The sequence below is a fragment of the Homo sapiens genome, chromosome 5 (genome assembly GCF_000001405.40).
Source record: "Homo sapiens chromosome 5, GRCh38.p14 Primary Assembly".
Taxonomy (NCBI): Eukaryota; Metazoa; Chordata; class Mammalia; order Primates; family Hominidae; genus Homo; species Homo sapiens.
The window spans coordinates 16,594,248-16,608,791 of NC_000005.10; the positions used below are offsets into that span (position 1 = coordinate 16,594,248).

Here is a 14,544-nt window from a genome sequence, read left to right on the forward strand (position 1 = left end):
AAGAATCAAAATTTCTCCTGATGCCCAACTTTCATTTTGATAAATGAAAGCTACAAGTTCTAAGTGTATTAGAATAGATTTTTAAATGTGACTGAATGAAAATGAGCCAAACGTGAAATGTCATTGTTAAATATCTTTAAATATGTAGACAACTTTTATAAGAAAAAAAGTTAAACGCTTAACATAGCATTTTTCAGTTGGGCGTGGTGGCTCACACCTATAATCCGTGCACTTTGAGAGGCTGAGGCGGGTGGATCACCTGAACTCAGGAGATCAAGACCAGCCTCACCAACATGGCAAAACCCCATCTCTACTAAAAATACAAAAATTAGCTGGGCGTGGTGGCGCATGTCTGTAGTCCCAGATACTCGGGAGGCTGAGGCAGGAAAATCGCTTGAATCCAGGAGGCGGAGACTGCAGTAAGCCAAGATTGCACCACTGCACTCCAGCCTGGGCAACAGAGCAAGACTCCAAAAAAAACAAAAAACAAAACACAACCACACAAAGCATTTTTCATAGACTACCATCACAAACTGGCTAAAAGTCTCTCACTAAAGGTTTCTGATGTGACAGATGACATAATGATGCAAGGTGTTGTTTTCAATTTATCCAGAAGGTATTTGGAAGTTAAATTCAGAAGGTATGCCAGGAAGACATACATTCATTTCTAAAACAATGAAGAAAGAGATGAAGTAAGGTTTCCAGACTGCAGTGAATATCCCAAGATATACCCATCCAGGTTACAGAAACTCAGTTGCAAGAGAGTTTCATATAATATCCTTCCTTCAGCTTATGAGCCATTTTCTCCATGTGCAAAGATGGTATTTGGATCTATGCAACTCATAAGTAACTGAGCCCCAGACCAGAAACCATGAAGCCATTTCCTGACTCATGGTGAGAGTCCCGTCAGGATGGCGGTCATGCGCAGTCTTGTACACGAGGCCCCCTAAACCTTGCTGTTCTAATAGACCCCTTTAATAGTCCTTGTTTTTATATTTTGTTTTTATTTCACCAGAAAGATCTTTTTTTTAAGCACCGAGTGCATGTATGTTTTGTTTGTAGGCACCCTGTATTATGTTTAATAGCTACAGAAGAGCTTAATTAAAAGAGGTCAACAGCTCTTTCAGAGAGAATTTATTAACCAAAAAAGTCACTGAGTTGTGTTATGATTACTAATATAACTACCATATTAAAGTGACCATGTCCATTTTAACAGGTCTTGGTGTTGTTTTAGCAGACACAAGTAATAACTTGTTAGTTACGAGCATACAACAAAATGTTTCCTTGGAATAGTAAATGCATTTTCAACTGCCAAAAATTCTTCCTATGAAAAGTTTTCTGGAAGGAGTTACTCTCGTCATTAAGAAGGCTACACTACCATTAGCTGAATGTTAAACACCTGTTTCAAGTAGATGTGATCAAATACAAGCTATTACTACTAAGAGCAAGAGGAAGCCCTTGACTGCCTCCTTATATCAAAGTGACTTTTAGCAAACCCGGGCTCATTTGTCAGGGGGGCAAGAAAGGATGGTGAAGTCTGAGACAACGGCCTGAATCTCACAGCTAAGAGCTTTTTAGGGTCCTGGAAGATTACGAGGAGATCTGTCAATACTCCAGACCCTCAAAAGACCCCAAAGACATGGTTGGGCCAATACAGTAAAGTTCCCACACTGACCTGCAAAATATAATTAGTGATTCTCACACTAGGGAACATTATTATTTTGCCTTCCTAAGTTTCATCATGTTCACTGTCTCAACACTTAGTGCATGTAGTTTAAAAAAGAGGTCAGGAGACTCTGATATGGGTCATAATGTCACCAGCTGAGGGACCTTGGGACTTAGTTTCTTCATCTGTAACACGAGGTGGTTAAACTGGAGCAAAGATTTCCTCTCCTTTCATTTCATCATATGGATGCCTTCTTTTGAAAGGTTTTAACTGCCAATGAAACAAATAATATGGTTTACTAGGTCAGAGCTGGTGCAACTTGATCATAGAAATAATTATCTTCCATGATGCGTTTGAAATACTGAAAACAGACTAGTGCCTTCAAAGAACTGGGCAGCTCTGGGATATGATTTCAATATGATTCTTTTGCTGAAATCTGCCACTCCAGAGGCACATTTCTTTCCCTGCTACGCAGACTGGCAAAACACATGCAAAAGCTGCCAGAGTGGCTTTTTGGAAGCTGACAAGGGGAAACTGGCACCCATGTAGCATTAAGCATTACGCTCGAAGCCAAACCTAAAATGTAAGCAGTAGTGACGCTCTCAACTCAATGCATCCTGGTCAATCACAGACTAGAATATTTGTTTTGAAAGTTGTCCTGCTGAGACCAAAGTATGAATTCTCTTTTCATTCAGTTAAGCACAGCCTATTCTAGGATCCGGCAGTTCCCACAAAGCCAGGCCAATTACCTGGCCTGACACGCACCCTCCAGGGCAAAACTCAGCAAAGCCCACAACATCCAGCCAGGCAACCTCACTGCAACTCCAGGGAATGCCACTCACGCTGTTTTCTGTGTGAGTGCCTGGAGACACGTGACAAAGAAGCCCTGTGTCACACCTAAAGAATGGTCCAACTAGAGAATGGACCACAAAAATCTTATGCAGCTTCTATACGCAAGCAGATGTTGGGCCTTGGAAGTACAAAAGGCAAAAAGAAATGCTTTAAGCTTGCCCTGAAGATCTAAAGCATGAGAAACAATAGGACAGGAGTCTGGCTGATTCTCTGCTTACCTATGTACTAGAAGTCATCAGTCAATAGTTAGACTACTGACATTTGTCAGACAACAGAAAAATGCATCTACACCAAAGGACGTGGAAAGAATCCTGAAGAAGTAGGCTGGCAAATGCATATAATGGGCAAAATAACCCAGCAAGTAGAGGATAAACTACAATTAGGCCACCCAGGTGTAAAACAGTTGCAACCACACAAGTGTGGCTGTGTGCCCCTGGCAAGTCACCTGACTTCTCTGTGCCTCAGTGTCATTGTGAATATTAGTAACGACACCTACCTCCTCCAACAGTTGTTATGTATATGGAGTAAGAGACACTACAGGTGAACGGCCTAAAATATCTGACACGGGATAAGTGCTCCACACCCATTAGTTCTGAATTGTAACATTATCCTTATTCACTGATTTGTCACTGTACCTTCATCATTAAATCCAAAAGCATCATAAATCTTAACCCCTAACCTTGGTGCCACAAAAAGCACATTGCCTTTCTCTGCTGGACTCTGAGTACCCTTGGGGAGTCCAGGAGTCTCTCTCAGGATGGCATTCTGCACTGGGCAAGGCCCCACACTCAGCCTGAAGTCAGCCACACCTCCAGAACCCTCCCAGGGAGAAGGGCACTTCCAACCTGCACTGCCCTTGGTCCTCCCCCACCCACAAGAGTGACCCCACCAGTGGCTTCCTATAGAAAACAGACTTCCCCTTGCTGCCCCACTCTCAGCCTCCAACATGTCTCCCACATGCCCCTCCTCACTGCCCCTCAAGTGCTTTCTACAAAGAACCAATCACATCAGTGCCAGGGGTTGTTTGTAATGGCCCGTCAGTTCTCCAGGCCTGAAAGAGGTCCCAGTCCTGGAACTAGTACCTAAGCCCCTGAAGATCTGGACCTGCTTCCTTTCCAGCCTCACCTCCTGTGACCGCTGGCACGACTTCCTTGCCCCAGGGGTAAGGAACTACACTGGAGGGAACTGGGCAGCCCCTGCTTCTGACTGCACTCAGGATGAAACCCAAACCCCTCCACTCCAGTTCCAGGCTCTTCACCGTGCCCTACCTCCTGCCCTGCCTCACCCCCTCCCCTTCCATCTCCCCACCTCCCGACCACACGGAACTCTGTGCACATTTTTGGCAGTCCACACTCCTCCCTCTGGACTTTCACACATGCTGCTCCCTTGGGCTTGGAACAAATCCTTCCCCTGCACACCCCAGCAACCTGGCCAACGCCTACTGACTCTCTACGTCCAGCTAAAATGTCACTTCTTCTAGGTCTTTCCAGACTACAACCACCATGGCTGCCCTTCCTACATACCGCTAGCATGGCACTTAAAAGAATGTGCTGGAAAGGATATCTGACCTGAGTTTCTTCCCCACATTGTGAGTTCCATGAGGGAAGAAGACACCGTGTCCCCAGTGTCTAGCACAGTGATTCTACCTACCATGTTCTCAGTGAGTATTTGCTAATGAAACAAACCAGGGCCGTGTTACTCACTGTCACCCTCGGAGCCTTTGTGACTCCTTCAGCCTGGAAGGCTCTGCTTACGTTGATTCACCCAAACCACTTCTACTTAGCATTCACAACTCACAAAAGTGTGACCTCCCTGCAGTCACCAGATTTGGAGGACTTCTGTTCCTTCCCATAGTAGCAGCAGCCTGGATACCTGTTACTCATATTTGTCATACCAAACTAGTTGCTGCTTTCCATGTCATCTCTCCCAAGAGATTTTAAACACTAAGAACCACCTTTAACCATCCTTTATAACCATCCTTTGTAAGTGATGGACCCCACCAAGATCTTGGAGGACCACTACAGTTAAAGTTCAATGTCAGATCAAGGTAGGCTGAAGACACCTACGATTTAGAGTTTGATACTGGGGCATTTCATTCACAAATCATGCTCTATTTGTTTAAATGTTACAGGCTGGGTACAGTGGCTCATGCTCACCATCCTAGCACTTTGGGAAGCTGAGGTGGGAGGATCACTTGAGAGGTGGGAGGATCACTATGTTACCCAGGCTGGCTCAATCAGGAGTTGAGTGAGACCCCAGAGTGCGTCCCCATCTCTACAAAAAATTTTAAAAATTAGCTGAGTGTGGTGGCACAGACCTGTAGTCCCAGCTACTCAGGAGGCTGATGGGCGAGGGCTGCTTGAGCCCGGAAGTGGAGGTTGCAGTGAGCCAAGATCACACCACTGCACTCCGGCCTGGGCAACAGAGCAGCACCCTGTCTCAATAAAAAGGAAAAAATAAGTAAATTTTTTACAAATAAAAAGAAATGCTGTAATGAAATGCCATTCTCATGCTTTAGTGAGACTAGCTAGAACCAAATATACTCCATTCACTAATATTCTAATCAGTAAACTTTTCAAAATCTAGACACATATTACTACTCAGTAATAAATTATCATCACGCCAATTTTTAATTTAAAATCTATAAAGTGCTGCACTTGGATTGGATAGGAATTATCACAACCACACAGTATTTTGGAAAAGAAATGGGAAAAGAGAAATTCTTCTTCTCAAGGGAGGTGAGCAGAGAACTTGGATACCTTGCCCAAAAGTATGGGAATCATGAGGAAGTGGATGAAAAAGCAGAGGGTGTCACTAAAGTTTTACCCATTCAATTACTGAGCACCTACCATATACCACGGTGCTGGGATACATGCCTGAAGCAACAGACTGCTCTCTGCTCTGCTGGAAGCAGCATTCAGGTAGGGAGGCCAGCCCTGTGGTCAGGCATGGCACACTGAACATGCATATCTTTCTCCTCTTCCTCCCCAAACCACGCCAGAATCAAAAGTAAAAATACTGACAAAGATATGCATGCATGAGGCTAAAAGCAAGCAGGAAAGGAGACAACAGTGGGGATATCAACAAACATCTGGAAGATGGAAAGCAAGCTCCAGGGTGATAACTGAGCGAGCAGCAGAAAGAGCGCTGGGAATTGCAAGGGTGCAAGGGTAAGGCCCCCAAAAGCACGTCCCCCTGAGCTGCAGGTCCCAGGAAAGCGTGGGGGTGGAAGGAACTGGGAGAAGGCAGGGGCGAGGACAGGTGTGAAGATGTCACCCAGGCTGGAGTGCAGTGGCGTGACCTCGGCTCACTGCAACCTCCACCTCCCATGTTCAAGCGATTCTCCTGCCTCAGCCTCCTGAGCAGCTGGGATTACAGGTGCAGACCACCAAGCCCGGCTAATTTTTGTGTTTTTAGTAGAGACAGGGTTTCGCCATGTTGGCCAGGCTGGTCCTGAACTCCTGACCTCAGGTGATCCACCCACCTCAGCCTCCCAAAGTGCTGGGATTACAGGCGTTAGCCACTGTGCCCAGCCTACAAATCTGTATGATGAACAGTTAGAACTTCAGATCTTACTACCCACCCAGCAAGGTCAGGAGAGAGGACCTCTCCTCCACCCCGACAGAAGTAGGAGGTTGTTCTCTGAAAAAATTAAAGTGGAAGGGCTTCAGACCCCGGGGGTAACAGGACAGAAGAGAGCAGGGCAGAGGAACCACGCTGAGAACAGGGAGCTGATGCCAGGCACATTCTGATGGGGACCCCCACGTGTTCATCATCTCCCTGGCACAGCTCCCAGAACACTCGGAGTCAGGCTTCCCCTCCCTGCCCCGCCCCCACAGGAGAGGTCAGCATGCTGATGACCCACAGTGAACGCTGTGAAGTGGCCACTCCTCAGCCCAGCACACTGCGCTCAGCCTTGGAGCCCTTTACTGTGAAACAGGAAGAGGAAATCTGAGGACCCCTTAGATATTTCAGGAAAGCCTTCAACACCTAACAGACACAAAATACACAGAAATAAGGAACTCAGAACACACACAAGAAAACCTCGAATAAACTATCTTCTCCTTTTTATTAAAGAAGAGAAAAATCTAAGAATCAAAACAAACGCATCTAAAAGGAAAAAAAATCAAAAATGAGGAAAATGTCTTGGAACAAAAAATGAGACCAGAAATTTTAAATCAGTAGAATGCAAAAGATACAAGAAGCTTTCTGAAAGCAGAACAGAAGACAGAGATGAAAATAGAAAAACTGAGAAAATCAGGAGCAATCCAAGAAGTCTGACGTTTGACCAGTAAGATCTCCAGAAAAAGAAGAAAACAGGCTGGGTGTGGTGGCTCACATCTGTAATCTCAGTGACTCAGGAGGTGGAGGCCAGAGGATTGCTTGAGGCCGGGAGTTAGAGACCAGCCTGGTCAACACAGCAAGATCCCATCTTAACAAAAATTTTAAAAACTTAGCCAGGCATGGTAGTGTGTACCTGTGGTCCCAGCTACTCGGGAGGCTGAGGTGGGAGGATCGCTTAAGCTATGATCTCACTGCACTCCAGCCTGAGTGTCACAGCGAGACCCTGTCTCTAGAAACAAAATTTTTAAAAAAGAGGAAAAAAAACAAAGAGGAGGAATTTTCTTTTTTTTTTTTTCTTTTTTTTTGAGATGGAGTCTTGCTGTGTCGCCCAGGCTGGAGTGCAATGGCGTGATCTCAGCTCACTGCAACCTCCACTTCCCAGGTTCAAGTGATTTTCCTGCCTCAACCTCCCAAGTAGCTGGGATTACAGGCATGCGCCACCATACCCGGCTAATTTTTGTATTTTTGTAGAGGCAGGGTTTCACCATGTTGGCCAGGCTGGTCTCGAACTCCTGACCTCAAGTGATCCACCCGCCTCAGCCTCCCAAAGTGCTGCGATTATAGGCGTGAGCCACCATACCTGGCCAGGAAATTATTTTTAAAAGACTTTAAGAAAATTTTCCAAAACTGAAAGACATAAGTTTCCAGCTGAGACTGTTCATAAAACCAAGAACAATAAATGAAAAAAATATCAACAGAGGTCTATCAGTTTGAAATATCCATAATCAAGAGAAAACCCCAGAATCTTCCAGGGAGAAAAACCAGGTCATCTATAAGAGATCAGGCATTGGCAGGCCTTTCGCCAGCTCAAGTGCAACACTGGAAGCGAGCAAGGAGACAAGGAGGCGATGCTTCCAATTTCTAAGGGCAATTCTTCCCAACCCAGAACTCTAAATCAAGCCAGACAAGAAATCCACAGCAAGAGCGGGATAAAGATGTTTTCCGCATACAAGTTCTCAAAACATGTATTTCCTCTGTACTCTCTCAAACCTAGAGAACGTGCTCTCCCCATACAGAGGAGTGCACCAAGGAAGGCTTCAGGAACAGAGGAGAAACAAACAGAAATCAAGAACTCGTGATAAATGTGAAGAAAACCTTACACTCTCATGAATATTCTCAAGAAGAAGAAATGGGGGCCTCCCCATTCAGGATGTTGACTTTGTCCTGACCCCCTGTTTTAAGCAAGGGTCCAGTATCAGGGACTCCAACACAGGAGAGAAGGAAAACGACGACGATGGGCGTGTCCTAAGCTAAGTGAAAAGCGAGCCCAGTGGGGTATCAGAGGAGACCAGAACAGAAGGATGGAAACTGAGAGGAACTAAGAGGCGAGTTCCTGGGAACTCTGGGACTCTTCCCAATTCACTGGGAACCGTGAGGCTGAGAACTCTGAGAGTAACAGCAAAACAACGTTGAACAAGAAAGGAAACGTAAACATGACACTCTACTTAGCTTATATATGAACAATACTTACATAGTCATAATGCTTTAACCCAAACTTCTGATATCATGACAAGGGAAGGGGGATGAGAAGAGTTTATGTGAATCGGGGTGCCAGGAGAAAATTAATGTCTTAGATTGCTGAATCAAAAACCAGCATTTTAAGAATTTCACTTAGAGGCCGGGTGCAGTGGCTCATGCCTGTAATCCCAGCACTTTGGGAGGCCAAGGTGGGCAGATCACCTGAGGTTGGGAGTTTGAGAATAGCCTGACCAACATGGAGAAACCCCATCTCTGCTAAAAAATACAAAATTACCCGGGCCTGGTGGAGCATGCCTGTAATCCCAGCTACTCGGGAGGCTGAGGCAGGAAAACTGCTTGAACCTGGGAGGAGGAGGTTGCGGTGAGCCGAGATGGCGCCATCACACTCCAGCCTGGGCAACAAGAGAGAAACTCTGTCTCAAAAAACAAACAAACAAACAAACAAAACAGAATTTTACTTAGAAAAGTCAATATAGAGCCAAGAGCATAACAAACAACAGTCGCTCCTAGAAACAGGACTGGGAAGTAAGGTGAGACAGGGTAAGAAATTGCTGCATTTTAATTAAAAACCCAGTGGAATTAATTGATATTAAAGATGTATGTGTGTGTGAGGGAGAGACTGATCTTCATCCACAGTATTCTCCACATCATTTACTATATATTCTGTAATTGCAGCTTTCATTTTTTTCTTTGACCCAAGGGATATAAGTATTATATACCCAGAGTTTTAACAAGACTTTAAGATTAGAAAAACAAACACAGAGAAAAATTAACAAAATACCTTCAAGTTGCACCAAAGTCTCTGAAGAATATTTGCAGATCTGAAACTGAAATTAACAAGCAAGACCTAGATGGAGTCTAGGCTGGGGACAACCTCGCTGAAGAGGTGACAGGAAAGACTAATGACAGGGAAGGGACAGAGCAGGGAACAGAGATGCAGGGGGTCACAGTCCTGGTGGGAGAGCGGCTGCCTACAGAGCACGCAGCTTTGCAGAGTGGGTGAGAAGAGGCACTGGCGGGTGTGGCCTCTCCTGTGCTGCCTCCATAACGGCTCCATGCCTCCCAGCCCCCCAGCCCAACCCCACCCTCAGAGTGGCAGTAGTGCTCCTTCAGCACAACATGTCGGTACCCCAAACTCTAGATTCACCTGGGATCGCATCCCACATCACATATTTCACACAGCACGCTACACCACAAAGCAGTGCAATCAGCTAAGAACAGGCCAGAGCCCACATGACATCTTACCTGTAGGGAAAGGGCCACCCACCCCCCACCCGCCACCCTGGGTCAAAAGAGCACACACAAAAGGGAACTGAAATATGATGAGATTGGGCCACTGGACAACTCACAGAAATACACACCCTGCTTTGGTAATCAATGCCTAAAACGGAAAACAAAGGTGGTGGGGTGGAATCCTCTACAGGGATGAAGCCACAGTTGGTGCCGAAATTTTACTTGGAAAAATAAATTAACCTTTTCCTGTAAAGCAGATGGAGATAGCAAGCTCTATGAGTGAAAGCTGATGGCTTGATCTGAGAAAGAAATTAACTCTGTCTTCTAGAAGCAGAGGGAAGAAGTCATATTGAATTACGCTCTGATTACACCCAGCAACCTCCCCTTGCAGTCCAGCTTATTGGGGCGGGGTGGGGAGCAGAAACCTGATCGGAATCCCCATTCTGCCAAATACCCTTACCTTGGGAGAAGTGACTTAAATCCTCTGAGCCCCAATATCCCCTCTGCCAAATGGGGCAATGATACCTTGCAGTGTGGTGTGATAATTAAATAAGGAAACTCCACCAAGTGCCTAGCAAAGCAGGAGCCCCACAAATGGTCACTGCTATTATCAAGGATCACTGCAGGAATTCCGTTAATTATGCAAGGCCACAGAAAGTGTGCCACGAAATTGTCAAAAGAAGAATGGCTGAATACACAATAGCCACAATGCTTTACCTAGAAACTCAGGAAGTCCACGTGGCCACAACTCAGGAGAGCTCCCTCTGTCATCTGAGTTCATCTTTCAGGTGAAAGGTCTGGTGAGTGTCTGGGAAGAGATGGGAGGCCAGCCTCCCGTGGGTGGCTCATGCTCTTTCTCCCAGTCTAGGATTACCGTCAGGAGCGTGGAGGTGGCCACACCTCACCCAATGTGTTTTCACTTAGGTATTGCCTTTTTCATCCCTGAGACAAAAATCTTTCCAAAAACTGGAATCAGCAGCAAACAAAGAGCACTACACTGAATCATTTGGCAAAACATTTTAAAATACTGCACAGCTGCATGCTTCTAAAAGTACGTTCGAAATCGTACATGGATATCTTGGACTCATTTATCTTTAGCAAATGGGAAATTTCCCATAAGACATTTATTGTTAAACTAATATAGTATAGGGGTGACTACAATACTAAAACTAGTACTACTCCATTATATATGCACCTTGGAAAAAAATGGTCAATGAGGACAAAGATGAAGACACAGGAGCCTGATATAAAATGTCTGCACTGAAGAAATGGCCAAACATAAATAAAACAAAACAAAAGTGTAATCTAGCATTTTCCCCCAGTCATTTATGCTTCTCCACTAAAGCTTACAGCCGGTCTCTGCAGGTGCCTTGTCCTGCCTTAACCTCCTCAACTGCAGTAGATTACCATCCTCCTTCAGAGAGAAATCAGACAACACATGTGACTCCTTGCCACTTAGACTACAGGTATACCCATCTTTCCCCTGGGTCCCCAGGAATCAGAAGAAAAGGCGTCCTTCTCACCTAGCCCCTTCGTCCTCCCCAGAACTTCACGCTGTCACATTCCTCCACCATATCATTGACCTTGCCTCTCCATAGTCCCTTTCCCCACAAATTCTAGTGTCCTTTGGAATACCCACCCAGGCATCTCCAGGCATCTAGAGAATGGAACAAGAATGGGAGGGAGTGGGGTGTTAAGAGTCTGCAAATAGAAACACTGGGGACTTGTAGCTTCTGACATTCAAACTAAGGTATCTCATTGGGGTGAAGGCCAAGCATTAGAGAGAGGGTGCTTAGTCCACTTCGGTGGCTGTAGCAAAAATATTAACTAGGTGGCTTATGCGTAACAGAAATTCATGTCTTACAATTCTAGGGGCTGGGAAGTTCAAGATCAAGGCACTGGCAGGTTTGGCATCTGGTGAGGGCTCACTCTCTGCTTTGCAGATGGCACCTTCTTGCTGTGTCCTCACATGGTGGAAGGAGTGAACAAGCTACCTCTGACCCCTTTTATAAGGGCACTAATCCCACTCATGAGGACTCCCCCTTCATGACCTAATAGCCTCCTAAAGGCTCCACCTCTTAAAACTAATGCACTGGGGAGAAGGTCTCAACATATGAAATTTAAGGGGACACAAATATTCAGACCATGGCAGAGAGAAAAGATTTCCTAAACTACTTGAATTCCTGTTGGCCAAGTCAGGAGCCAGCCTGAGAACCAAAACACAGAGAGGCCCAGAAATAGAGTGGATAGCCATGTCCTCCACTGAGCCACAATACTGCAGCGAGGAGGTGGTGCCATGGAGACAGGAAGAGAGTGTCCTCCCCTTCGGGTGTGATTGGAGACCACCAGGCCCCTACAGAAATCGCTTCAGCTAAGGCCAGGAAGGAGCAATTGCAAGTCAAGTACTGGATGACATTCGTGATCGCCACATTGGCTGCTCCAGAACAACCCTCTCCTGGAACTCCCCTCTGCTGCCACTCTCCTTCTCAAGGTGCTCTTTCTGGTCACCCACTGTGGTAATTCAATCTCCCCAACACTCTCCCCCAGCTCTCCCCAGGAAATTTCACACGTTCCCAAGGCTGCAACGACTAAACTCCAACACATGCAACTCCATACTTCAAACTCAACCTGCACTCTGAGAGTCAGTCTGTGTCACTGTAGTGACACGTGGATAATTCACCTGGTAAGCTACAGCCACGTCCACTGCAACATGGCCAAACCTGGGCAACCTCAGCCTGCCGCAACCTCAGCCACCCTTGCATTGGTTAAGGTCACTACCAGGCACTCCTCATCTAGCCCATAGCCTAAGTCATCTAGCCCATAGCCTTTCTCTCCCCCTACCCACCAAATCATTCTGTCCTCCTGATTTTATCTCCAGAGTCACCCCAAATCCATCTCCTCTTCCCCAACCCCACTTACCTTGGCTCAGCCTCTCTGCACCACCATGTGCTCCTGCAATGGTGTCCCAGCTGGTGCCTCGCCCCAGGCTCTTGCTCCCCTAATTCATCCAGAGGGGCTGGCAGAAAGCTGACAAAAAGCCTCTGGCACAGTTGTGGCATGAAGTTCTGAGCTGAATGAACACTGTTTCCCCCTTGCTCACCCAGCCCCAGCCACAATGGCCTCCTTGCTGCCCTGCAAACACCCCAATCCCACTCCCACCCCAGGGCTTTTGTGTGTGCCATTCCCTCTGCCTGGAACACTCCCCTCCAGAGTTACCTGCTTGGATCATTCCCTGACTTGCTCTTCAGGTGTCTACTCAAGGTCCTTTCCTGAAAGGCCAATGATGACCACCCAACAAAGTAGTAACTTCTGTCACTCTCTATCCCTTGTCCTTGCTTTAGTTTTCTTCATAACATCCGGCCTTTTCTGGCATTTTGTATATTTGTTTATTGTATTTTTTTTTACCACTTTCACCACTAGAATATAAGCTCTGGGAGAACAGGGATCTCACCTGTTTGTCCGCTGTTATATCCCCCGCACCAAGAACAGTGTCAGCATATAGCACACACTCAGGAAATATTTGTCATATTTTGGCCAGGCGTGGTGGCTCGGCTGGCCAAGATGGGCAGATCACCTGAGGCCAGGAGTTCAAGATTATCCCGGCCAACATGGTAAAACCCTGTCTCTACTAAAAATACAAAAATTAGCTGGGTGTGGTGGCAGGTGCCTGTAATCCCAGCTACTTGGGAGGCTGAGGCAGGAGAATCGCTTGAACCCAGGAGGCGGAGACTGCAGTGAGCCAAGATCACACCACTGCACTCCAGCCTGGAAGACAGAGCAACACTCTGTCTCAATTTAAAAAAACAAAAAAAGAAATACTTGTTGTATATTTTAATGGAGGTCCTGAAAGAAAGGGAGGAATATTATGGTATTAATATTAGGGTAATAGATGGGTATTGCTTATTTCATGTCATCCAAATTCCTTAGCATGGTCCAATAGTAACCTCTTCAAAACCTGGCCCCACCCTTTGAATTTGCAGCCTCACCTCTGGGTATTCCCCCTAGCAAGCACATAAATCTCCCCTCCCCTCCCCTCCCCTCCACTCTCACTGTTTTTATTTTTTATTTATTTTTTTGAGACAGAGTCTCACTCTGTCGTCCAGGCTGGAGTGGGGTGGCGTGATCTCAGCTCACTGCAACCTCTACCTCCCGAAATCAAGTGAATCTCCTGCCCCAGCCTCCCAAGTAACTGGGATTACAGGCGCATGCCACCATGCCCAGCTAATTTTTGTATTTTTAATAGAGATGGAGTTTCACCATGTTGGCCAGGCTGGTCTTGAACTCCTGACCTCAGGTGATATGCCCACCTCAGCCTCTCAAAGTGCTGAGATTACAATTGTGAGCCACCGTGCCCGGCCCACTCTCACTGTCTTTAAATAGCCCCACCTTATTCACCATAGGGGAATATCCTCTAGTCCAGCTCATTTCACCAAACCTTTTTTAACATCTACAGTGTTTCAGATCTCATGTGGATCCGGCAACCCAAGATTAATTATCTGTCCCCAAAACAGACCCTCAGTGTGAGTCAGGAGAGTCTCTCCATCCTGACAACATCCAGTGCTCATCTCCCATTTCTTCCTGAGTTTGTCCTACATGGAAATCGCTCACCATTAACCTCACTTTTAAAACTATACCTTTTCTTCTGGGCTTATACAATAAATCTCACAAGACTTTCATCAGCTATTCCAAACCTCCCTCATCCCCACTTTGTCCTCAACTGTAAAGCCCTGGAGACCATGACATGCAATTTGGAACTGTGACATACTCTCTCAATCGATTCACCAAATCAGCTGTGTCTCCTAAACCAGTGGGTAGGCTCTCTGAGTTCAGGCACTGGGCTTCTGGTATACCCCCTGGGCCCAGGTATACCCCCTTGACCACACTGGGTAGGGAGCAGACACTCATTCACAGGTACCGACTACTCAGACGGAACAAAGATAAGGCGAGGAACTTGGACCAGGCTGGCTGAC

The 14,544-nt window shown here is 46.2% G+C and overlaps 1 protein-coding gene across 2 annotated transcripts in view, besides 1 other annotated feature; it reads right to left on the minus strand.

Annotated features, from left to right (window-relative positions):
• Nucleotides 1-14,544, minus strand: part of RETREG1 (reticulophagy regulator 1) — a 143,945-nt gene that overhangs the window by 121,195 nt on the left and 8,206 nt on the right. The window lies entirely within an intron of this gene.
• Nucleotides 12,309-12,525: a silencer, noted in NCBI's record as "fragment chr5:16606665-16606881 (GRCh37/hg19 assembly coordinates)". NCBI's record gives its function as "represses an EF-1alpha promoter that drives an FKBP-Casp9 reporter gene in an ReSE screen in HepG2 liver carcinoma cells {active_cell/tissue: HepG2}" and the evidence as "EXISTENCE:reporter gene assay evidence [ECO:0000049][PMID:32094911]".